Below are 27,359 nucleotides of genomic sequence, written 5' to 3' on the forward strand. Positions count from 1 at the left end.
GGAATTTACACTGGGAGAGTGCTTAGCCTTCAAGAATTATTGATCCAAGTGGGAAAGTTAAATCCTGAAGCTGTTAGAGGTCAGTGGGCCAATCTTTCATGGGAATTACTTTATGCCACAAACGATGATGAAGAACGTTATAGTATACAAGCTCATCCACTACTTTTAAGAAATCTTACGGTACAAGCAGCAGAACCTCCCCTGGGATATCCGATTTATTCTTCAAAACCTCTCCACATACATTTGTATTAGAGCTCATTTTGACTGTAATGTCATCAAATGCAATGTTTTTATTTTTTCATCCTAAAAAAGTAACTGTGATTCTTGTAACTTGAGGACTTCTCCACACCCCCATTCAGATGCCTGAGAACAGCTAAGCTCCGTAAAGTTGGTTCTCTTAGCCATCTTAATGGTTCTAAAAAACAGCAAAAACATCTTTATGTCTAAGATAAAAGAACTATTTGGCCAATATTTGTGCCCTCTGGACTTTAGTAGGCTTTGGTAAATGTGAGAAAACTTTTGTAGAATTATCATATAATGAATTTTGTAATGCTTTCTTAAATGTGTTATAGGTGAATTGCCATACAAAGTTAACAGCTATGTAATTTTTACATACTTAAGAGATAAACATATCAGTGTTCTAAGTAGTGATAATGGATCCTGTTGAAGGTTAACATAATGTGTATATATTTGTTTGAAATATAATTTATAGTATTTTCAAATGTGCTGATTTATTTTGACATCTAATATCTGAATGTTTTTGTATCAAGTAGTTTGTTTTCATAGACTTCAATTCATAAACTTTAAAAAACTTTTAATAAAATATTTTCCTTCCTTTTCAAATATCCTTCTAATATATGTGAAAGGAGCGGGGTTCATCCCATTCATCATGTGAATATTCACAGGAAGAGCAATGTTAGGGTAATCTGCATATGACTACTAAAGCATATATCTGACTCATTATGTATTTCTTTCAACTGAATTTACTGCTTCTGAAAAATGATTTACCCAACAGGACTACCAGTTACTAGTGTCTTAAGGTATATGAACTAAAGTCAGAAGGAGATGGAAGAAAATTTTTATAATACGATCTGAATTTTATTTTCATTCTCTTCTTGCTTAGGAACGTTTTACAGATACATGTAAGGGGGATTAATAATGAATCCACATCAGTTGAGAGATCAGTTTCCTCTAATTCTTACTTAATTTCCAATGAAATCAGTAGGAGCCCCCTAGATTTATAATAATGTATTCTCCTTAGAAATCATTCAAATTATATGAAATGTACCAGTTAAGTTGTTATTAGTATTCCATTTATTTAGTATGTGGACGAGTTCACTCTAACAATGTTAAAGGATAAACTTTTTGGACCAATTTTCAGTTAATGAATTCAAGAGATTTGTATGTTATTCTTTTTTTGGAGGTAATATAGTACAGTTACTAAGATAGGATTTTGTATTACTCTGAGTTTACATCTCAGACTTATGATTTAATTTACATGATTGAGATTTGCTAGCTGTACACCTTTATATCTTTGTCATGTAGAAATATTTTCTCATGTCGTTAAAAGTACTTGTAATTATCAGCTTTTTTTTTTTTCCGAGATGGAATCTCGCTCTGTCACCCAGGCTGGGGTGCAGTGGCACGATCTCAGCTCACTGCAACCTCCGCCTTCTGGGTTCAAGCGATTCTCCTGGCTCAGCCTCCTGAGTAGCTGGGATTAAAGGCGCATGCCACCACGCCGGCTAATTTTTGTATTTTTAGTAGAGACAGAGTTTCACCATGTTGGCCAGGCTGGTCTCGAACTCTTGACCTCATGCTCCGCCCGCCTCAGCCTCCCAAAGTGCTGGGATTACAGGCGTGAGCCACCGTGCCCAGCCATAATTATCACTTTTAATGACAGCATAAAATTCCATTGATAGATATTATTTATTGGACTACTGTCCCCCAAATAATGTGAATTTTAAGTTGTTTAGAGATTTTCACTGTGATAATAATGTCAAGCTATGCCTTCGCTTAACCTTGCATCCTCCTCAAAGTGCTCCCATATCTCCATTTCATTCATAGCCAGGTTTTCTCTTTCATTTACTTGTCAAATCATTCCAATCTGGATCCCATCTCCATGACTCTCCCAAATTAAAAAAAAAAAAAGTTTTTATTAAGGTCACTATTGACCTTTTTATTGTCAAACCAGCTAGTAGTAATTGACACATTTGACCATTCCTTGAAGCAGCTTTTGTGTTTTCTTTTGAACTTTCCTGACACTACATTATCTTTGTTTTCTTCTTATCTTCCTAGCAACTCCTCAAACATCTTTGCTGCCTCTCCTCTTCTACCTGACCTCTAAATTTTAGAATTTCTCAACAATTGATTCTAGGCCCCCCTTTGTGTTTCTGCAATCACCATAGATAATCTCATCTACTTCAAGACTTGAAATATCATCAATAAATTGATGATGATCAAATATATGTACCTAACCCAACCTCTCTTCTTACACTGAACCTATATATATCACTTATTTGGTATCTTCACTTGGTATATTAAAAACTGACTGTTAGATTTTGAAGGGAAGGTGAGAGTTAAAGAAAGACACACAGAGGGCAGCTTGACAGCAAATGCAGACTTTATGTCTAGCATAAAACCTACAGAAGTGGGGGACCAGCTTAATGCCAGAGCCCACCGCTGCTTACAGGCTGGGCGTACTTATAGGCATGGGTGAGAGGGGTCTGGGCAGTATGGCTTGCTGCTCGGCAGGATATTGATAAGATGCTCCCATGATGAGGTGGTTCTGGCCCTTGTTGTGGTGGGATGTCATCATAGTATTCCTTGGAACTTTGCCCAGCAAGATATGATAGGGATATTTCTTAGGTTGGGCCTTTTTCCGCCTTGTGGTCAGGTGGTTAGGCAGCATGTTTCTCACTGCCCGAACCCCTGTGAAATGTTTTACTTTGATCAAGGTCTGCAAAATAGCGGGGAGCTTACAAAATGGTGCAGTTTGGACTAACACTAACGTTACTGAATTTTCCCTAAAACCTACTTTTCTACTTCTAACTTTTAGTGGTGCATTCATACCAACTATTTCAGAGAACTAGCAATGCCAGGCAAAATAGTATTTTAAAATCTGCTTAAAGGCATTAGAGAACCAAAAGACAGTGAAGAATAACATCACTAAGATCTAAGACAGAATGAAACTTAGAGACCTGAGCTCAGCATTTGGGCTGCTTTTCTTATAGGAGACATGCCAATTCAGGATAAGGTGGTTGAGAGTCTGAGACGCTAAGTAACACTTATAACAGCCTTGCTGCTGAGTTAGAGGGACAAAAACTGGAGACCAAGACTCTCCAAGGAAGTAGGGGAGGGGAAAGGAATCCTAGTTAACTGACCATACATTGGGTTGTGACCCCAAGGACCATATCCAAATTGTAAGGGTGAAGAAAAACCAGATGCAGTTAGGATCTTCTCACTTCCCAAAACTGGATTCAGGTGACCCTTTGCTGCAGCCGCTACCCAGAGCAAATGTAAATCCTCTCTGGACTGATCTTTTGAGTTATTTTTATAACTTTTCATGTTTAGTGTTGGAAAGTTATTTAAGGTATCTGAGGAAACAAGACAACATGATGAAAATCCGAAAGAAGCGACAGATGATGGGACAGAGCCACAGGGGACCCAGATAATGAGCTATACAACACAGGGTCTAAAATTACTATGTTTAGTGTGTTTAAAGATCTAAAACACAAGATTGAGAATTTCAGCAGAAAATCAGAAACTATATAGAAGAATCAATCAACAAGTCCCCAACTTAAAAGTACATTAATCAAGTTTAAGAATTCAGTGAATAGGCCGGGCGCGGTGGCTCACGCCTGTAATCCCAGCACTTTGGGAGGCTGAGGCGGGTGGATCATGAGGTCAGGAGATCGAGACCATCCTGGCTAACACAATGAAACCCCATCTGTAGTAAAAATAAAAAAAAAAATAACCGGGTGTGGTGGTGGGTGCCTGTAGTCCCAGCTACTCAGGAGGCTGAGGCAGGAGAATCACTTGAACCCGGGAGGCAGAGGTTTCAGTGAGCCAAGATCATGCCACTGCACTCCAGCCTGGGCGACAGAGCGAGACTCCATCTCAAAAAGAAAAAAAAAAAAAAAGGATTCAGTGAATAGATTTGATAGAAAGTGCATACAGTGAAGTAAGAATTAGTGAACTAGAAGTTATGTCAGAAGTAAATACCAGATGTGAAAAACTAAGAGACAAAAGAATAGAAAATATAGTAGAGAGTATAAGAGACATAGAGTTAACTTGAGAAGATCTAACATACACGTAACTGGATTTCCAGGAGAAGAGAGAATATGGCAGAAGCAACCTGTGAGGAGATAATGACTGAGAATTCTCCAAGTTTTTAAGACATGAAGACCTGCAAGATCAAAGCATGATAAATAAAAACAAAATTACAACTTAGCACATCCTAAGAAAAAATAAAACACAAAAAGAAAATCATTAAAGGAGCCAGACAATGATAAAAGACATTACTTTTAAAGGAGGCACAATTTTATTAAACTGACAGCTAACTTCTCAACAGAAAATATGGGAAGCAGAAATCAATGGCATGATATTTTCAGGTTACTGAAAGAAAATATCTGCAATTTTAGAATTCAATACCCAGCCTTTCCCCAAAAACAATTCTTAAGAATGAAGGCAAAGACACTTTCAAACGCAACAAATTTAATAGCAGATTGTCATTAAAGGTGATAGTAAAGGGTATTCTTCAGACAGAAGGAAAAAGATCCCAGAAAAAGGTTAGAGATAAAGGTAGGAATGAACAGTAATTTAAAAATATATATATACAGTTTAAGTGAATATTAACTATATAAAATAGTCTTCGAGGTTAAAATAAATAATGTTAAAATGTGACAATAATATACAAATTTGGTGCAGGAATTCTAAGGTCAGAATTATCAGAAAGAAGATTAAAGTATAAATAAGACTGCTGTGTCATCTATAGGGTAACCACTAAAAGAACAGCAAAAAGCAAAATAAAACAATCGTAGAACTACAAAGCTAATACAGGGCTAAAGTGGAATAATAAGGCAAAAAGGTAGAGAAAATATAGAACAAATAGGACAAATAGAAATCAAACAGTAGATTAGGAGGTTTAAATATCAGTTACAACATTCATATGAATAGACAGTGTACCAATTAAATGCAAAGATCATCAAAGTGAAAAGAAAGAAAACCCACAAAGTACCTTTATGCAAGAGATGTCTTAAGTATAGGAATACAAAGGTTTGAAGTAAACAAGAATGGAAAAATTATAATATGAAATACAAAAAACAAAAACGATAGGGCAGGGGACTATGGTGGCTATTGCAACATTATTCAATGTAGACCTTAAGGTGAAAAGTATTACAAAGAGAGACAATTTGTAATGATAAAAGATTTGATTCACCAGAAAGTTTCAACAGGTCTAATATTTTAATGATTTAACAATATAGCCTCAAATATATAAGCAGAAATGAACAGAACTAAAATGAGAAAAGACAAGTCTGCATTCCCAGATTTTAATATACTCAGTAACAGAACAGCAGCCATGCAAAAATACGTAAATATGTAAAGATTGGAATAATACTTTAAAACTTAACCTAATTGGCATATATGAAACAGAATACCCAACAACTGCAAAATACACATTATTTTCAAATGCAGATAGAATATTTATCAAAACTGACCATATTCCAAGTCATAGGAATGGAATATATTCTTTGGCCATGTATCATTCACTTAGAAATCAATAATAATTTCAAAAATAGAAAAATTCTATTAAGTTCATAAATTAAGAAATACACTTTTAAATAACTCATGGATCAGACAATAAATTACAATGAAAATTAGAATATATTTGAACTGAGTAGTGAAAGTGCTACATGTCAAAACTTATGGTAGACGCCTAAAGCCATGCTTAGAAGGAAATTTATAGTCTTAAACGCACATTAAAAAAAAAAGATTGAAAATGAACCTAGTAGTTAAAATATTCTAAGAATAGCAAATTAAACCTGAAGAAAATAAAGGAAATAATAAAGAACAAGAATTAATGGAGTAGAAAATGAAGATAAAGTGGATCAACTAAGCCAAAAGTTGATTCTTTGAAAAGATAATTGATAAGTGTCTGGTAGACTGAAAAAGGAAGAAACACAAACAACCAATATCAGGAATGAAAGGATATTACAAATCCTAGAGTCATCTGACAAAATATGTGCACAACTTCATGCCAATTAGTTGGAAATTTTAGATGAAGTGAATAAATTCTTTAAACTATGGAAGAGCCAAAATTGACAAATGAAAAAATAGAAAATTCGAGTAGTTCCCTATCTGCTAAAGAAGTGGAACCTATAGTTACTTTATTTGCTTTTCCATAGTGAAACAACAAGCCTAGATGGATTGATTCGTCAATGGAAAGACAATCTTAAATTCTTACAAAGAGCAGTAGAAATGCAGGAACCCTCCCCAACTCATTTTATGATGCCAGAAAACCTAGATACCAAAACCTGGCAAAAACTTTATGAGAAAGGGACCTATTTCATTCCCCCCAACATCAATGCAAAAATCCCAAACAAAATACTAGCAAACTAAACTACACACATACACACACACACACACACCCCTACACACACAGAATAATCACAATCAAGTTGGGTTTCTTCCTGAAAAAGTGAGGTTGGTGTGATAGTTGCAAATCAATCAATATGATTCAACACATTAACAGAATGAAAGGAGAAAAATAATATTTCAGTAGATCCAGAAAAAGTATTTGATAAACCAGTATCCACTCATAAAAAGTTTGCTTTTTAATATTCATCTTTATTTTTCTTATCTTGAGTATGCACATAAGATGTTCAGAGTCAGAGATAGATTTCTTATTACTCAGGGTAAACAAGTGCACCTGCCCACCTTTGCACTCGTCCATATCCCCCAGAGCAACCTGATAAGAAACTCATGGGATTTTGGCTATGTAAGTGGCCAAATACTGCATAGGCAAGGGACAGGGAAAATTAATTTTCCCTACTTATAAAGATGAAAGAGGCAGCCATCCTCTTCCCTTCCTGAAAGAGTCTGCTTTTACTCTATTCTTGTGGTAGACAAAGTCTCTCCAAAAGCCAGATAGCCAACCCCATGTGTCTCCAAGAGCTGTCTCCTACATCCCAGGGAATACCTAGGAAGATAGCATATTAGAAATGAGGAAAGGTCTCAGCACAATAACCTAAGTTCCCACCACAAGAAACAAGAAAAAGAATAGCAAAATAAGCCCAAAGCAGGCAAAAGAAAGGAAATAACCAAAAGCAGAAATCAATGAAACTGCAAATAGAAAAATACATAAACAAAAAACTGGTTCTTCAAAAAACAATCAAGAAAATCCATAAACCTGTAGAAAGACTGACAAAAAGAAAAAACACAAATCATTATTATCAAGAATGAAATGAAGAGTATCACTATAAATCAGGCAGTCATTAAAAAGATAATGAGGAAATACTGTAACTTTCGGCTTATACACATGACAACTTAGAAGAAATAATCTGATTCTTGAAAACCACAAACTATTAAAACTCAACCAAGATGAAATAATCTGAATATCCTATAACCATTAAAGAATTAAATTCATAATTTAAAATCTCCTGATAAAAGAAATCTCCAGACCCAGATGCCCTGGCTTCTTTGAGGTTCTTCCATGTTGTTTTATGTATCAATCATTCATTATTTTTTATCGCTGAGTAGTGCTGCATGGTATAGAATATAACAGTTTGTTTATACCATTCACCTGTTGATGGACATTTGTTGGTTCCAGTTTTGGGCTATTATGTAAAGCTGCTATGAGCATTCATTTACAAGTCTTTATGTGGACATAAGCTTTCATTTCTCTTGGGCAAATACCTAGGACTGGGATGGCTAAATCATATGATAAGTGTATATTTAAATTTTTAAGGAACTGCTAAAAGTCTTTTTCAAGTTAATTGTACCTTTTGACATTCCCGCCAGCAGTTTATGTGTACAAAATGTATAATTACATTTATGTAAAACTATAAAATGCAAACTAATCTATAATAATGCAAGCACATCATTGGTTGCCTGGAATGGGGTGGGCGAGGGGAAATGATTACAAAAGGGCAAAGGGAAACTTCTGGGGCTGATATATGTGTTTACTCTCTTGATTGTGGTTATGGTTCACAAGTGTAGCCATATGGCAAAACTTAACAAATTGTACACTTTAAATATATGCAGTTTATCATACATCAATTATACCTCAGTAAAGGTGTCAGAAATAACAGGATATTTATATTTAAATCTACCTTTGAATTACCGATTGTGACTGAGGTCTCATGTGGCTTACTGGTGAATCCAGTAGTTGAGGAAACGAAAGCCGTCACTTCTGCTAACTCTTTTACCAACTCACCTGCTGTCACCTTACACAACCCCAACTGTGTTTCAGCTTTGGAGTAATGAACACACCATTTTCTTCCTACTTAAAAGTCCACTCAGGATAATGATTAAGAAATACATTGATGCCGAGTAATAAATACTTTAAAAAAAGTTAAATGTGAACATTTGGCTTTCACAGCTCTTGACTGTCTTTGGCGAACCTTGACATAAAGCTGCCTTTTCCATCTTGGGCTGCTGACAAAAAAGCCTAAGAAAGAAAGAGGGTGTGTACAGAAAATTACATGCCATAGAAAAATACCATACACAGGCCGGGAGCGGTGGCACTTTGGGAGGCCAGGGCGGGTGGATCATTTGAGGTCAGGAGTTTGAGACCAGCCTGGCCAACATGGTGAAACCCCCGTCTCTACTAAAAATACAAAACTTAGCCGGGCATGGTGGTGCACACCTGTAGTCCCAGCTACTTGGGAGGTTGAGGCAGGAGGATCGCTTGAACCCAGGAGGCAGAGATTGCGGTGAACTGAGATAGTGCCACTGTACTCTAGCCTGGGCGACACAGTAAGACTCCATCTCCAAAAGAAAGAAAGAAAGAAAGAAAAAAATGCCATACAGATGAATCTTTAAAGATTTTAATTTATATATACCTCTTCTACCATTCATTGGCTGGAGTAGTTGAACAGACATCAGCAGGCACAATGCTAGGCAGGCACTGGAGATTCAGTGATGAATAAAACAAAACTGACCTGGAACCTGGCCTCCTGAAGCTTCTCTTCATCTGTCTAAATTCCTTTCTTTCAAGGCCCAGTGCAAGTGACACCTTCATCAGGAAGGGCTTCCACATGATTCTATCTGCAAATCTCCCTTTTCTGAACTATTATGCTTATAGTCTGTACCAGGCCACATGACATATGTTATTTTGTGGCATTCTAGAATTATTCCAATCTTTTCATTCTTATAATTGGTGTGTTGTATTCAATAAATAATGTTGTTATTCCAGTTTTCATCACTGGTCACGCAAGAGTCCTCTCTTTATTATATTTTATCCCCATAGTTCACCCCGTTTCCTCCCCATCCTAAGTAACTATTACCATACCTAAATATATATCTAATTAGGTTGTATGTTTTCTTGCAAAATGAGCACTATCTTCTGTGCACATATATTTGTGTATGTGAACAGTATTGTGTTAGCGTTGCTTCTTTATTTCTTCACTTATGACTATGCCTCTAGTACATATCCATGTTGTTATGTATGCATTTATTCCATTGCTTCTACCCGCTATACCTCATCGTGTACCTCTACCACATGTCATCTTCCCCCTTTTCCAAGGACAGCCACTTGGGTGGCTTCCAACTTGCCCAACAACTATTCTACAGTTATTTTATGTATGTTACTTTGGCTCCAGCTCAATTGTGAACTGCTTGTAGATAAGGACCATGTTTTTCTTTACCTGTTACTCCTGCTGATTTCCTATTAGTGCCTGTGCATGTTTTCTGCTGTAAGGTGTTAAATGTTAAAGTAAAATTAATAATAGTAGAAGTAAGGAGTTGCCAGTGGAATCTTCCTGAGCTGAATCTAATCATGGCTTTACCCCTTACTAGCTTTGTGACCTTGACCTTGGAAAAGTAAAACCTTGTTGGTCTTTCTTCATCTATCAAGGTAGGTAATACCATCTATCTTAGTGGGCTGTTATGAGGAATGAGTTAATTAACTAATACTAAGCACTCCAGTACAGTAGAAGACATACAACAGGTGTTTAATGAATAATAGGTGCAATGAATCCTACCTGCTGCTTCAAATTACAGCCATCTGTACCTGTCAACTTTTCTAAGAGTATAAGCATCTTGGAGGTAAGGTCATTTCAAATACTTCTTTATATCTGGTCATTACCCAGCACTCTGCTTTGTGTGAAATATTCTATACATTTATGTTGCTATGGTTTGGATGTTTTTGTCCCCTCCAAAATTCATGTCGAAACTTAATCCCCAAAGCAACAGTATTAAAGGATGTGGCCTTTAAGAGGTGACTGAGTAATGAATGAGATTAAATGCTCTTTTGAAAGCATTTTGCTCCTCTTTCCCTTCTGTCCCTTCCACCATGTGAGGACATACATTCCTCCACTGTGGAGGATGCAGCAATGAGGTGCCATCTTGGAAGCAGAGATCAGCCTTCACCAGACACTAATTCTGCTGGTGCATTGGTCTTGGAATTCCCAGCCTCAAGAGCCAGGAAAAACAGATTTCTGTTGTTTATAAATTACCAAATCTGTGGTATTTTGTTATAGCAGCACAAATGGACTAAGACAAATCTGTTAACTTAGATTTTAAGCATATGTGCTAAAGTATTTTAAAAGGTTATTTTATCCAAGAATATAGTATGAGTTAATACCTTTTTTGCAAGATTCATGGCAATCTTTTATTATTTATTTTTTATTTCATTCCATGTTGGAAGCAAAGTCATATCTATTAAAAAGTAAAATCACAAATTAGTCTTTGATTATTCAGAAGCATAAGAAGATTGCTGTTTTCATGTTTTCCATTTCTCCCTCCAGTGGCTTGAAAAGTACAGGTGCTCTTTTCAGTCATGTTTTGTCTTAAAGATTTTAAAATAAGAAGAGTCTGCATCCTGTAAAAGAGGGACAGAAACATGGATCAGTACCTACTCCTATTTACTCCAGTTTTTAACATTTAAGTCCTTCTGTTTTGAGGAGCTGTATCATTATGATTCACTATTAAGAATCTTTACAAAAGTTCAGAAACTGCTTAAATTAGAATTTAAAAATCATAGCCAAAATTCTAGATGTACACAAAAGTACTTCTAATGAGTTTAGCATCATCTCTGGTTTAGAGGAGGTATAAATAGCATTGGACTGCAATGCTAAATTCTCTATAATGACTTTTCTGGATCAGCATATCATACCTACACTGACTTGCCCTAATAAATAAAAACAATGAGTCAGATTATGTAGAATTGAGATATATGGAAGATAACTCTTTAAAATTATTTGTGGCCAGGCAGGCACTGTGGCTCATGCCTGTAATCCCAGCACTTTGGGAGGCCGAGGTGGGCAGATCACCTGAGGTCAGGAGTTAGAGACCAGCCTGGCAAAACCCCATCTCTACTAAAAATACAAAAATTAGCTGGGTGTGGTGGTGTGCACCTGTAATCCCAGCTACCCGGGAGGCTGAGGCAAGAGAATTGCTTGAATCCAGGAGGCGGAGGTTGCAGTGAGCTGAGACTGCGCCATTGCACTCCAGCCTGGCCAACAAGAGGGAAACTCTGTCTCAAAAAAAATAAAAAGAAAAAAAAATTATTTGTGAACTTTTTGTATATTGCTTAAGGAATAAAACAAGGCAACCTGATAATCCCCAAGATGTGATGTTTCTTTTCAGAAGATATGCATTTACCACTTTCAAAACTTTGCACTAAGAAAGACAAAATAATAATAATGATAATACAAAATTCAGTGTAGCCACTGTTCTTGATCCCTAAAAATAATAAAGATTCATAAAAACAAAGTTCCAGACATACAGACTAAAGAAGCAAATTCTAGTTAACAAGTACTATTAGCTTGAAATAAGCTATGCTAGCATTTTCTTAACTTAGACGCTTATCAATAAGAAAATTTATATATATACATATATATAAAATATAAAATAGTGGGAGAGAGGAAGAGTACAGACTATAAAGAATGAGGTATTATGTCCTAAAAATTGCTTTGAGAAATGACAGAATGCCCAGCTTATAATAAAGAGTGACAAAGTAGTAAGACTATATAATAAGCAATATTTCAAAGATGGTGGTAGGAAGAAAAAGGCTGTCATTTTTTTAGAAAAACCTAGATGTAAAAAAAATGCGAGATTTGCTAAATGATGTTTATATTTTACAGTTAGATATTCTCTAAACAAAACAAAATATCCTTCATATGGACATTTCTGGAAGTACTACTACAGTGGGACTGAAATTCTCTAGTCCCTGGTCCCTCTTTCCCCTTTGAAAAAAAAATCACTTCTATAATATATTCTTTCTCTGCCCTATTATTTAAATTGAGAATGTGAACCAGTACAGACATTATGGAAAATACGGAAATTCCTCAAAAAATTAAAAATAGAATTACCATCTGATCCAGCAATTCCACTTAAGGGTATAAATCTAAAGGAAGTGAAATCAGTACCTTGAAGTGATACCTACACTCCCATGTTCATTTTAGCATTATTCATAATAGCCAAGATATGGAAACAACCTAAGTGTCCATTAGTGAATGAATGGATAAAGAAAATGTGTGTGTGTGTCTGTGTGTGTATATATATATATGGAATATTATTCCACAATGGAATATTTTTCAGCCATAAAACAATGGAACTCCTGGCATTTGTGAAAACATGGATAATGAATGGACGTTAATGCTAAGTGATATAAGCAAGATACAGAAAAACAAGTACTATGTGATTTCACTTCTGTGGAATCTAAAAAGTCATACTCAAAAGCAGAGTAGAATGATGGTTGCCAGGAGCCAGAAGATGGAGGAAATGGGGAGATCTTGGTCAAAAGGTACACATTTTGGCCAGGCACAGTGGCTCACACCTATGATCCCAACACTTTGGGAGGCCAAGGTAGGTGGATCGCCTGAGCCCAGGAGTTTGAGACTAGCCTGGGCAACGTGGCAAAAACCCGTCTCTACAAAAACTACAAAACCTAGCCAGGCATGGTGGTGTGCGCCTATAGTCTCAGCTACTCAGGAGGCTGGGGTGGGAGGATTGCTTGAGCCTGGGAGGTAGAGATGGGAGTGAGCCATGATCACGCCACTGCAGACTCCAGCCTGGGTGACAGGGCGAGACCCTGTCTCAAAGAAAAAAAATGGTAGATATTTTCAGTTATAAGATAAATAACTTATGTTATTATAATTTACAGATTCTAAGGATCTAATATACCGCATGGTGACTACAGTTAATAATACTGTATAGCATATTTGAAATTTGCTAAGAAGATTTTAAGTGTTCTCACCACACACAAAAAAAGGTAACTGGGTGACATGTATTAATTAGCTTGATTGTGGTAATCATTTTACAGTGTATATTAGATCATCACAATGTATACCTTAAATATATATAATTTTTATGTGTCAATTATAAAGAAAATCTTTGATCATTAAGGAAGCTGAATATCCTGCTATATCTAACTCAAGCTGAGAAGGGGGAAAAAGCACAATAGCTAACACTTAGAACACTCCAAGTTGTGTTTTAAGTGCTTTTCATATATTAAATTCATGTAATTCCCATAACAATCCTGTGACTGGGCACTATTATCATCATTAATCTCCATCTTATATTAATAGATGGGGAGACTGAGTGATAGAGAAGTAACTTGCTTTAAGGGCATGGGGCAGAGCTGGGATTTGAACCCAGGTAGCCTAGCACCAGGCTGCATGCTCTGCCAGGAGGCTGTGCTTCCTCTGTAGTAAGGTGGCCTGTCCCTCTCAACTCTTTCCATCACTGGGCACAAAGCTACTGCATCAGCTGTCCTCCATATTTAAAACTCAGGTATACTCTTTGATGAAACTCTACCTTTAGAGCTTCTACCCACACTACCAAGTCCCAACAATACCAAAACACTCATAAGGGATCTGGCCCAAAGCAAACTGTTCCACATTACTACTTGGTAGAAAACGAAAAGCTCCTTTTTGATTTTTCACACTCTGGACATTTTAGTGTGTCATGACCCAGTCTGATAACCTTTTATGTCTCTTAAGCATTTTGTTGTGTTTGTAACTTTTTACCCCCTAATTCATTTTCACTGTCCTGCAAAGAGTTGGAATAAATTAAATGTCTAACAATTAGTGGATTGCTTAAATTTTTGCAGGTATATATAGTATGATCTTGTTTTATAATTCTTTTTTTATCTGTCAATCCCCATTGATTAATTTCTAAAAGAAGGTGGTAACAAAGTATATCAAAGGCTAACAGTAAAAACCATCCTCAGCAATAATCTTTTGCTGCATAATCATCTATAATTTTTGGTTTACTTCATTACATTTCCTGTACTGTCTATAAATTAAATTCTTTTGAGGGTCACAATTTCTCAGAAATGGTTAATAGTATTCCCTGACTAATTGCTATAAAGAATGAGTGCTGAAAGAATGATAATCAGCATATTTCCTTAGACAGGGGAATAGGCACATCTTAGATGTGCTGAGTACTTCGGGAATGAGGTAAAACTGCATGCATCTGTTTTAACAACACAGTAAGTGCTTTGACAGGAAAGCATAGGGGCTGAGGTGCACTTGGTCCTGGGGAGAAGTGGGAGGGAAGGCCAGGTACCATTCCAAGGAGGTGACATGGGAGTTGAGACTGGTAGGATGGGTAGGAGTTGGTGGGGAGAAACAGTAGGGAAAGAGCATTTTGACACACACACTGGTCAAACAATATGTATAGAAGAAAAACATGGCAATCTTTGATTTGATTTTACCTTGTAAGAAACTTCTCTCTCCAAGACTAGTAATAATTTATAGTAAACCAAAATATATGCATGGGGATAAAATATTTTTTATTTATTTTTCTTTATATCATGAGATTGGTGGAGGGTTAGAAAGGTTTTTTGATTTTGAAATAGAGTCTCGCTCTATCACCCGGGCTGGAGTGCAGTGGCACCATCCTGGCTCACTGCAACCTCCGCCTCCTCGGTTCAAGCAATTCTCATGCCTCAGCCTCCCGAGTAGCTGGGATTACAGGCATGCACCACCATGCCCAGCTACTTTTTGTATTTTTAGTAGAGATGGGGTTTCACTATGTTGGCCAGGTTGGTCTTGAACTCCTGGCCTCAAGTGATCTGCCTTGGCCTCCCAAAGTGCTGGGATTACAGACATGAGCCACTGCACCCAGCCAGAAAGTTTTTTAAACACTGGAAAATTCTGTACCTTCCTGCAAGATTGGTACATACTATTAAGAAACTTAGAAATTGGTCTTACCACACCACTCTTAAAGTTCTCAATCCTTTTCTTCCCCATCTTGTTGGTTATCCACCAGGCCCAGGTTGGCATGTATTGCCACAAATATGTTACTAACAAGAAAGGTTGTTCTGAGATCCAAACTTCTTTCAAATCATTGGCCATGCTGATTAACATCAGCCGCACACAACGACTGGTTGTCATCTTGTGGGACTGGTCTCCATTATTGCCTATAGTCTAAGAAAAGTTAAAAATTAAGTGAATTTATCCAAGCGATTTCACATAACTTTAAGCTAGAAAGGACTCAAATGCCGTCTAGTTGAGTGGTTCCTTTAGTGGAGCTTCATGCCCCTTAGGAGTCTCCATAGGTACTAATGGGAGTTTATAAACTATTTGTAATATTTCAAAAAGCCTAACAGAAACCATATGCTTACTAGATAATATAGTGCAGGCTAACTAAAAGATGAAGATTCTTTGCTTTTAATTAGAATTGCATCACCCTAATGTGCTTAATGACAATTATCACTTTTGTAATAAAAATCAAACTATTAAGACAATGCATTTAGCAAATGAAATTCCATAAACAATTTTCATAATGGCAGGAGTTTTGTGAATAATTCACATAAAAGCACTTCTAAGGCAAAAACTATGATATACAGTGATACAACACCAATATATAATGCCAATATATAACTAGTAAACATTCAAATTATTCCCAACTAGAAATTTTTACCTTTGTGACTTCTCCAGCTAGGGAATTCTCCACAATATTTGATTGCACAGGTCCTGGGCAAATGTTAGAAACTATTATACCTGGGTATGTGGCAAGTTCTGTTCGAAGGCCATTAAAAAAACCCTAACAGACAAAAAAAAAAAAAAAGGAAAAAGGCAAATAAATACAGACACATATCTCATGATTTATCAAAATATGTTCTAAAATGTGTGAGTAAAGGACAGGTAGTGTAATCATGCAAGCTTATTAGGCACTTTTTTTTATTATTATATTTTAAGTTCTAGGGTACATGTGCACAACATGCAGGTTTGTTACATATGTATACATGTGCCACGTTGGTGTGCTGCACCCATTAACTGGTCATTTACATTAGGCATATCTCCTAATGCTATCCGTCCCCACTCCCCCCACCCCATGACAGGCCCCACTGTGTGATGTTCCCCTTCCTGTGTCCAAGTGTTCTCATTGTTCAATTCCCACCTATGAGTGAGAACATGCAGTGTTTGGTTTTTTGTCCTTGCAATAGTTTGCTGAGAATGATGGTTTCTAGGTTCATCCATGCCCCTACAAAGGACATGAACTCATCCTTTTTTATGGATGCATAGTATTCCATGGTGTATATGTGCCACATTTTCTTAATCCAGTCCATCATTGATGGACATTTGAGTTGGTTCCAAGTCTTTGCTATTGTGAATAGTGTATAAGGCACTTTTAACAGTAGACTGGAGGCAATCTAGAACAGACATTCTCAGCTCTTTCCAGGTATAAATGGTTCACCCCCTTTGATAGTGAGGGGTCTTCCCATCAATGATTTTTATGGTAGGCATGCACTGGATAGGTAAAAAGAACTATCCCTATAGATTCTGATATATGCTCTTCATACCAGTCCTCCTCTCCCCACTCCAAAAGGGGTATATGTCCTCCACTGAGAATCACTGAGGTCAGGTTTCTATTTATTCCCCAAAGTAGTCTAAAGTGCAAATTTTTGGGGCAAAGGTGAGGAAGATGGGATTAGTACTTCACAGAAAGTATCAGAAAGAATGAATTCAACTTTTTCCATTTATATTTCTATTTTAACAGTATTAATTCATTTTAGCAAACATTTATCTTTTTGGGTAATAAGAGGGTATGTGGCTAATTAAAAATGTAATATGATTGCCTACTGAATGACTTGTGTAAAACAGACTAGACCTTCTAGACTTAAAAAGATACTGACCATTTCTAAACCAATGGGGAGTAAACAGAAATCTACTGCCTCTCATCTCTTCCTAAATTAGGAAATGTTCCAAGACTACATTGTTATAAGGCTGGGTTATCTATTGAAAAGCCTAAACAGCTAACCCACAGTACATTGTATATGATCCAAAAATGTTAAACAGTTATCAGCTCTGAAATGCTGACCCCAACAAACAGAGGGGCTATGAGGGTTTATGATCAGAGACCAATACAGTGCCAGACTCAGAGATGAACCCAAAAAAAAAAAAAAAGCTTGCTAATTGAATGGAAAACTCCCATAACTTTAACCTTCTGCCTCTCTGTAGCAAAAGAGGAGAGAGGACACCAAGCAAGCCAATATATCAAACACTAAAACCTCTCCTTGTTTGAAATCACATCTAGTATTGTGTGTAAACTTTTCAATGATAAACAAGTTAATTCTGTAGTTTACTGAGAATCTGAGAAGGAAATGTGCTCTTCAAAAAGAGCTTCCTGGTAACTACAGTCTCAACCTGCCACATTTTATCATAGGATCAAATCCAGTAATAAAATAATGAGTCTTGGAGGGCAGGCCAGACAGCTCATCTGTGTTTACTGAAAGCATCCAGCATATCTTATGAGACACGTGGTGCCAAACAGATGGGTGGCCGCCCTCCCTCATCTGCCTGCCTGAGGCTTGCCCAACTGCTCCACAGGAAGTGACTGATGCCTGTTACTAAATATGAGGAAATCATCAGTATAGCATTCCGCTTCATCACTGTCTGCAATTGTCTGCACTTTGCAGCAGAAAAAAGATGTCCTAAAGAACCAAAGCTTCAAATTTTCATGAAACCATGATGACCATGTAGCTATTGCATCTCATGATTCCAACAGTGAAACATTCTACTTAAACTGACTTCAACAGCTTTAAATATAAATTTTGTGTCTTCCTTAATCATTCTTTTCCTATTGGCCTTATAATTTCTTTATATCCAGTCTTAAGCCACCATTAAAAATTCATCCATTTCTAATATTTATACATCGTAAGTTATGCAGTCCAAATCAAGCTTCTCTCCTTGCCTCTGCCTTGACTAGATTTTCTTCTTCCAATGAAACCAGAGAGAATACAGTCAAGATTTTTCCCAGTAAGGATATGAGACCAGGACTAATCATCCTGTGGGAAGTACCTATTTCTGACATGCATATATAATTAGACCAGGCAAAATAAACACCAACTACAAGGGGCAAGGAAAAGAAGTCACAGAAATGGGGAGGAAAAAGTACATCCTGAAGTGTATGTAGAAGAAAGGAGAAGTGGACCCCCAATTTTCCATGAAGATTTAGTAGGAATAAGGATAAGGTGAAGAGTAACATGTTAAATAGATGATACACTTTTTGAGGGCAGAGACCACATCTTATTATCTTTATATCCCCAGGGTCTGTTGTAGTACATGGCACAATGCAGTGCTTGATACATATTTATTTGTTCAACAAGTTAGAGGCATGTGTGGATCAAGTCTTTTTTAGCATCTACTGGGGGTGTCCTCTACCAAAAGTCTCCTTGGGTCTCTCTGTCTCCCCACATCACTTCCAGTTCCAAGGACCTCACACAGTGATGGCCATATCCCCCATATACACATTTAAGTCAGTTCTATCAGAGTTGAGTTTGAGCAGCCTTACCCGGAGAGCATGCTTGCTAGCACAGTATCCAATGGAAAGAGGTACAGATATGATACCCAGGATGCTATTCACAGTAACAATCTTTCCTTGCTTCCTCTCGATCATGTGAGGCAGAACACATTTTGTCAAGGACACCGTCCCTAAGTAGTTAAGCTCTATTAGCTTTCTGTAGACATCCAAGCTGGTATCCATGCACAGAGAACGCTGGGACATTCCACCATTGTTGACCAGAATGTCGATCTAGTTAAATAAAATCAGAAAAGGGGTGTTTGGGGGATGTCTTGTGGATAGATTGATGGAATTCCTATGGATGGTTGGTTATTTTGTTAACTTAAAGAATCAATGGAACAATGGTATATTTCCAGAAGTCAGCAATTAAAAAGATAAAATAAAGCCCTGAATTTACCTGTGGAATTAAATTCCCGTTTTAGGTGACTTTTTGTGAAAGTTAATAATTGTCATTAAAATAAATAAAAGCAGCCAGCTGGGCACAGTAGCCTGTAATCCCTGCACTTTGGGAGGCTGAGGAGGGTGGACCATGAGGTCAGGAGTTCAAGACCAGCCTGACCAACATGGTGAAACCCCATCTCTACTAAAAAATATAAAAATTAGCTGGGCGTGATGGTGCATGCCTGTAATCCCAGCTACTCAGGAGGCTGAGGCAGGAGAATCCCTTAAACCTGGGAGGCGGAGATTGCAGTGAACCGATATCACACCACTGCACTCCAGCCTGGGCGACAGAGCAAGACTTTGTCTCAAAATACATAAATAAATAAATAAAAGCAGCCGTGAATTTTTAGCTTCTTTTGTTCTACATGGAGGAATTTGTACTTGTTAAGACATGAAAAGTACTAATTCCATAATGACAAAGGCTCAGAGATTAAGGGGCCCAACTCATGGGCCCGATCTCACTGCATGGACCCCACTTGCCTAAAGCCCTTTGTATGACAGCACCACGGATGGGAATCTCTTCTGCAGTTACTTCAAAGCAAGACTATATCAATATAAGATGCTACTTACTCTACCAAACTCCTGGAGAACAGCTTTGGTAGCCGCTTCATGGGAACCAGTGTCGGTCAGGTCAAGGGGCAAAACAAGTATATCTTTTTCTTTTAAATTGCCATTCTCTAAATAAAGACAAAAATTTGTGTGGAAGTCATGCCATAGTTCAGTCAAGCTCCTTGCTACTCCCACTAACACCCACCCTGCAACAGGACTTGGCAACAAACTCATTTCTGGGTGGCCCTGTGAAAGTTCCTCTCGGTGGTCAGGAAGAGGACTAGTGGTTATATCAGACAAAAAGCTGGCTGGCCTCACAGGAAGTAGAATGGCAACTTGAATATGCAGTCTAACTTTACAATTTGATTTCTGATAGAAATCAAGATTATACTACAAACTAGAAAAGAGCAAATATTTTAGAGCAATTTCTTTAGAAGTACAGAGGTACCTTTGTTTTGTGATAGGCTCACAAAGATGAGTTGCTCTTCTACACACAAAACAACTACTTGTGCTTAAAATCAGTAAGAAGCTCAGAGTCCTACAGTCAAATGACATATAGAAGCTTCTCTCCAGAGGCTAAGGATTCCTGGAGGTAAACAGGGAAAAGGACACATGCCTGAAATTCCCAACCAAGAAACATGCTGCTGCTTTGTGATTGGCTTTCTGTTCATCAAAAGAACAACTGAAACTAATTTTCCTGGACTCTAACCTTGAAATACAAGTAACATCAGTAAGAAAAACAAGCAAGTATAGAAAATAGAAGAGGTAAAAAGACTTCATGGGCAAAAGAGTTAAGCGTGAAACATCAACTGTATTAAATGAAAAAGTGGGCACTACAGATCTGCAAGATAAAAGGAAACAGCCTTGTGCCAGGTAAGAAATGCTGACCTGGTTCATCTACTCCACCAGTACAGGACTTGCAAGTCACAGCAGTAGAGGAACAACTATCAAAAGAAGTGGCCCAGTGCAAAAACACAAGAGGCCTTTGAAAGCAGTATCATGAAAGAGGCCTGTTGCCCTGCTGAGCACTACTGTGGCAACTAACTCTCATTTCTGGGTGGTTAGCTCGATCAGCAAAGTTAAAGATTTAAAAGAATGACAGGTAGAGAGATGGCCCAAAAAATGGTCTGTTGGAAAATTCAAAATTATCTCAGTTTAGGTACTATTAATAAATGTTCCATGAAAAATAATAACTTTATACTTGAAGTTGCTTTCAATGTGAACATAATGGCTGGGTGCGGTGGCTCACACCTGTAATCCCAGCATTTTGGGAGGCCGAGGCAGGCAGATCACCTGAGGTCAGGAGGTCGAGACCAGCATGGCCAACATGGTGAAACCCCGTCTCCATTAAAAATACAAAAATTAGCTGGGTGTGGTGGTGCACGTCTGTGGCCCCAGCTACTCAGGAGGCTGAGGTACAAGAATCGCTTGAACCTGTGAGGCGGAAGTTGCAATGAGCCAAGATCACACCATTGTACTCCAGCCTGGGCAACAAAGTGAGACTTCATCTCAAAAAGAAAAAAGTAAACATAACTACACCAAAATTCAAACAAAAATATTAACACTGTTGCCCTTTATGTGAATATGAAAGTATTACCTCAAGTTGTATTTTTTAAAGCTAATTCCATTCCTGTTCTTTTATCCTATATAATAAGTCTTATCCCATATGATTTTAATATCTGATACTTTAATAAAATGAGTAAGGATTCTTCCTAATTTCTATGATCAGATACATGTATGTCATGGATAAGAACCCAACTGTTTTTTCTCTAAGACAAAAATCTAAGATACTTGGTCACTAAAAATCCACCAGCATTTTATATAATTGTTGGTCACTCCCTAATGCCAAGAGTCAGTGCAAAAAAAGCATAGAAAGGTGGCAGAAAAGAAGAAAAAGGCGAGGGCAGCCAATTAAGGCAAAAAGGAGAGGAACTGAGATGAAGCATGTAGAACATTTGGAGCCGGGGGGAAATCTCACTCCTCTCTAAAAGTCCCAAAACTGTATTTGAGTTTGGACTGATTTATTTCTAGGAAGCACCGCTGCTATTTCAGATCCGCTTACCTAGGCATCTTCTTTTCACCCTTTCCAGCTCATGCACTCTTCTGGCTGACAGCACAAGAGAAACTCCTAGTTTAGACAACTGGTAAGCCAGCTCCTCACCAATTCCACTCGAGGCTCCAGTCACCCACACCACCATATCAGTCAGCTCCCATTCTATGGAAGGAATGTAAATGGAAGGAAGAAAATAAGCAATGAATTACGCTCATAAATCCAAGATTAGAAAAAAAAAAGAAAGCCTTAAACAATACCACTAAATATGAAGGCATGATGTATAGAGTTAAAATTTGAAATATTCTAAGAAAGCATCTCCTTCTTAACTAAAAAAAAAAAAAAGCATTAATACAAATCATACTAGTAACAGTTATCAACACAGTATTTGTATATTACAGAACCTTCATGACTTTTCCAGACTTTACTTCAAGGTAAGCCTTATAACCTCATGGTTTCACTCTAAGGCTCTATTTAACACAAACAGGTAAGATAAATATGATAGATAAGATAAACAGGCTAAGTAAATACAAAAATCACTGTCTGGACTCACTTTTCCTTAGCCATTAAATGAGGCATTCAGATTAGATGATGGCTGAAGGTCACATCCAGTTTTTAATTCTATTATTCTAATATTTTGCAATGGAGGTTGATGAAGAATCTAAATATACCAAGTTCTGTGCTGTTGATGGAAACATCCTAGATTTTTAAAGTAGTATTTTCCCCATTTGCCAATAATGCCTGATGCCTATCAGCTCAAGGTCATTTTGTAAAAATGTTCCCCAGATGCCTGAGCTTTCATCTTAGGAGAATATAGTAATTCACCCAAGAACAAATGCATATTACAGAGAGATGAAATATTGTACTCTGCTTCTCCAATTATGTTCCTCTTAAAAGACTACAAATGTTACAGTACTAAAGCAATGACAAATGGTTTATTCTTTTCTCCAATGAAAAACTTATTAGCACTTCAGGAGATGATATTCACTGTCTCTCTGAACCCGTAAAGTCACTGTTATGCAAAGTTCCTGGGTGACTTATTTACTAAAATATATGTTATTTATCAAAAATATCAAATATCGTATCACTTAACATCACATTTCCGATTTTAGATCAGAAAAGTTAAAATCAGGAAATGATTGTACTGTTTTAAACAGCTCTAAATCCTAACTGTGATGTTAACAGTACCATCCCTGGAGACTGCCAGGGTTCAAATGCCAGCTCCATCACACACAGCACTGAAATGCTCCCAGGTGAGAACTTGGTGCCTTAATTTTCCACAACTGGAAATGTGATGAATAAGAACACATCCTTCACAGGATTGTTGAGAAATGAGTTAAAACATGGAAAGCACTCAGGGCAGTATCTAGTACATACTCAGTGTTTAATAAACGTCAATTATAATTATTGCTCAAGTTTTTTAACAGATGGACTTTACTACAGCAAAACATAGAACAGTCACTTAATAACGTATGTCTCCTAACTTCTCCAGCCAGGAAAACAGAGTTACCAATTCTAATGGCTTAACGTTTTTACATTACTTCCTATGTACTTAGCACATTGTCTACTAAAAGCCTCACCAGAACTGTATGGAAAGGTATTATTATCTCAGTTTTACAGAAAAGGTAACTGAGGTTTACAGAGATTAATTTGTCCCACTAGACCATAGATTCCATTAAGGGTAGGACCCTGTCTACCTTGTTCATTGCTGTGGCCTCAGTGCTTAGCAAAGACTGGAATATTGAAAAGGCTCCATAAATAACTACTGAATAAACACCCAAGAACCCTGGCAGAGCCGGGATATAAGCCCAGGTATATCTAGCTCCAAAGCCCACACTGTCCACTATTTCATGATATACACATTTACATATGATCAATATTTTAAAACCCAACTGTTTCTTAGACATTCAAGAAAATACCACTTGTCCTTAAGAAAAAGGTTCCATGTAAATATCTCAACTAAGGCCAGGTACGGTGGCTCACATCTGTAATCCCAGCACTTTGGGAGGCCAAGGCGGGCAGATCACTTGAGGCCAGGAGTTCGAGACCAGCCTGGCCAACATGATGGAACCTGTTCTCTATGAAAAATACAAAAATTAGCCAGGTGTGGTGGCGCATCGTTGTAACCCCAACTACTCAGGAGGCTGAGGTGCAAGAATTGCTTGAACCTGGGAGGCAGAGGTTGCAGTGAGCCAAGATTGCTCCACTGCACTCCAGCATGGGTGACAGAGTGAGACTCTGTCGGAAAAAAAAAAAAAAAAAAAAAAATCTCAACTAAGGATGGAAACATCCCAAATACTATGTCTGGGCTACAATGCTTTCCTGTCATATAACGTACTTTTGTGAAAAGGCACAATTGGGCCACCTTCCTATAGGACTTTATCAAGAACAACATAACATCTATTCAGATAATCATTTATTCATTCATTGACTACTTGTTGTTCCCAAGTTCTGCAATCATCACACTCTAGAGTGAATATCATTTGTTTTAGAAACACAGGATTTACTAACTAGTGTCGAGCTAACAAAGACCTCTTGATATTTACACACATAAGCAAATATTTAAAGCTGATGGTGTAAACTTTTAATACAATCACAATTCTGGCCTCTTCCTCCCACCCTGAAGAAACTTTTTTATTTAGCACCGTTTGTTTCCCGATTCCACAGAATCTGGTATACATAATGGCCTCCCTTTAAGAGCCCCTGAAAGTAGATTCTTAAGAGTTGAAAGGAAAGTGATAGTTCAACCCCCACTCCAGTTTGAGAATTCTCTTCTCAAGCCCTTGACCCATCTCTAATTCCCTCACAGGATGAGGAAGCTAATTATCTCTGAAGGCTTCAGCTCCTTTTTTGGGAAAGTCTAATCATTCCAGGGATCTTTTTTATACTGATATGATAAGCTTTTAAATGCTATCAACCAGTAGCAGTGGGCAGTAATCCTGCCTTGTGGTTTGACAAAGAAGAAATCAAACTTCTGGTGTCGGTGGGTCCAAGTGTCCAGCCTGAGGCATCCTCCCCATCCCTTCCTCTCCCAGCACCTCAAACATTCATCAAGGATTTTGTATCCAAGGCCCAAAAGTTTGTTACCCAAGACGACAAATATTGACATGGATGCAGTTGATGCTGAAAATCATTTGGAATTGGAGGGAAAAACACAGCTTATTAATCAAGTGTTGGAACCCCAACATACACTTCAAGATCTCCCTGTCAGAGGAGATGCGGTTACGGAAGAAAATCTCAAGCTAAAATCAGAAAACCAAGTTTCTTAGACAATACACAGAAAATTTCATGTCAGCTTCTAGTGTTTTTCAAACAACTGACACAAAAAGCAAAAGAAAATACAGAATTGAAGCCCTTCTGTTTTATGGAATTGCTGCTGACCTTTCTTTATATGTTGGACAGATTTCAAAAGTGATAGTACCTTTGTTTGTGGTTTCATTGAATATTTATGAAGCTAATGTCAGATGTAGGCAACATTCATAGCATAACAGGAAACTTCCATAAGTTTGTGTATTATGTTAGTCTATGAGAATGTGCAAATGTATTGGAAACTTAATTTAGAATAGCACATATTTATGAAACTTAAGATGAATGTTTTATCAAATTTGCTCTGATTTGTGGGTTTAGCCCTGTCTTTTATTATAGGCTTAGTAAGATATACAAGAAAATAACCATCATGCTGTGAAAAAGTGACCCCAATCAGGTACTGACTGCACAGATTCATGTACCCTATCCATCTTCTTGGGCCCCTTCTCCACTGGCTTCTTCCTTCCTATCTCCCCTCCCCCAGGGAAAAACTGGTTTCATATTTGTAAAAGCAATTTTAATACTTAATCATCTCTGAGAGTAACCTGAACTTTAATTGTCAAAACTTAACCAAATGAAGACATTTTCTCAGCTAGAGCTTCTCATTTGTGATATTTAATACTAAGATAGAATTGCTGGTTTCTCTTTAATCAATTGAAAACAAAAAGAGACTATAAAAATGAAGATTTTTCATTGAAACTGAATTGTCAATCTGGGAAGATAATTTTTTGTTGTCAAAAACTTCTTTTTGGCCAGGTACAGTGGCTCACGCCTGTAATCCCAGCACTTTGGGAGGCCGAGGCAGGAGGATCACCTGAGATCAGGAGTTCAAGCCCAGCCTGGCCAACATGGCGAAACCCCATCTCTACTAAAAATACAAAAATTAGCTGGGCGTGGTGGTGGGTGCCTGTAATCCCAGCTACTTGGGAGGCTGAGGCAGGGAGAATTGCTTGAACCTCTAGGAGGTGGGGTTTGCAGTGAGCCTGCACTCCAGCCTGGGCAACAAAGTGAGACTCTATCTCAAAAAACAAAAAACAAAAAAAAAACTTCTTTTTTTTTTTTTTTTTTACAAAATTACCTACTTTGTATCTGAAAAGATATAAATTATGGTCGTGTGTGTTTAAAATAGAAAAGCTTAAGGGAAAATAGAAATAGGATGGAAAAGTACTTGGGAAAATACTAGTAACCAACTCCAAATATTTTCACTCCAGATTTTTGTTATCTCTGGCACAGAGTAGATCTTTTGGGAAATATATGAGAGTAGATTAAGCTCGACTAACCTGTTTTTTGGCGGGGGGACGGGGGGAGGGGACAAGGCCTGGCTCTGTCACCCAAGCTGGAGTGCAGTGGCATGATCTTGGCTCCCTGCAACCTCCACGGCTCAGGCTCAAGCCAACCTCCCACCTCAGCCTCCCAAGTAGCTGGGACTACAGGCGTGTACCATCATGCCCGGCTAATTTTTTTGTGTGTATTTTTTTGTAGATATGAGGTTTTGCCATGTTGCCTAGGCTGGTCTCGAACTTGTGAGCTCTAGCGATTTGCCCACCTCAGCCTCCCAAAGTGCTGGGATTACAGGCGTGAGCTACCGCATCTGGCCAACTTTGACTAATCTTATGTACCACATCTGGAAGAGAACAGTTACAAAGAGTTTGGTCTCAAGGTATATTTCTACTCAGCAGATTAACTTTTGCAAAATTCCTTAAGAATGTATTAGTATCAGAACTGTGAAAAATGGGAGTTTCAGATGTACACTTATTGATAATCTTGCTCAGTTTTATCCTGCTTGTTCTCCCAGAATTTTTTGTAAACTCAACTCCTCTGTTTACAGAGTTTTAGTCACTTTTAACAATTTTTTAAAATTCAGTTTGTAGACTCCATTTGTTAAGGGAATCAATATCAGAAGTAATACTAAAATGTTATAATAGGAAAAGGGATCCACTAATATAGCTTATGGTTATTAGAGCTGGGCTACCTTTAATCATGGAATAATCTTATGTATAGGTGTAAGAATGACTCACTATATGAATACATACTA

At 37.5% G+C, this 27,359-nt stretch overlaps 2 protein-coding genes and 1 pseudogene across 6 annotated transcripts in view; 2 read left to right on the forward strand and 1 right to left on the reverse strand.

The window, feature by feature from the left end:
- The window catches only part of PCNX4 (pecanex 4), a 56,311-nt gene extending 42,059 nt beyond the window's left edge, over positions 1-14,252 (forward strand). The window contains exon 10 of one of the 2 annotated variants that reach the window (NM_022495.5): positions 1-845. In NM_022495.5, the coding sequence (NP_071940.4) occupies positions 1-252 (252 nt within the window). In that variant the 3' untranslated portion in view covers positions 253-845. The other variant, NM_001330177.2, reaches the window with a different exon arrangement.
- Positions 10,150-27,359, reverse strand: part of DHRS7 (dehydrogenase/reductase 7) — a 25,771-nt gene continuing 8,561 nt past the window's right edge. For 2 of the 4 annotated variants that reach the window (NM_001322280.2, NM_016029.4), the window contains exons 2-7: positions 22,031-22,183; positions 19,990-20,096; positions 18,970-19,209; positions 16,096-16,218; positions 15,384-15,599; positions 10,150-11,044 (exon numbers count right to left, since the gene is read on the reverse strand). In NM_001322280.2, the coding sequence (NP_001309209.1) occupies positions 10,997-11,044; positions 15,384-15,599; positions 16,096-16,218; positions 18,970-19,209; positions 19,990-20,096; positions 22,031-22,166 (870 nt within the window). In that variant the 5' untranslated portion in view covers positions 22,167-22,183 and the 3' untranslated portion in view covers positions 10,150-10,996. Of the gene's footprint in view, positions 11,045-15,383; positions 15,600-16,095; positions 16,219-18,969; positions 19,210-19,982; positions 20,097-22,030; positions 22,184-27,359 lie in introns of all 4 variants that reach the window. The other 2 variants (NM_001322281.2, NM_001322282.2) reach the window with 2 other exon arrangements.
- SCOCP1 (short coiled-coil protein pseudogene 1) overlaps positions 25,042-27,359 on the forward strand; it is a 2,415-nt pseudogene continuing 97 nt past the window's right edge.

This window comes from Homo sapiens, chromosome 14 (genome assembly GCF_000001405.40).
Source record: "Homo sapiens chromosome 14, GRCh38.p14 Primary Assembly".
Classification (NCBI taxonomy): Eukaryota; Metazoa; Chordata; class Mammalia; order Primates; family Hominidae; genus Homo; species Homo sapiens.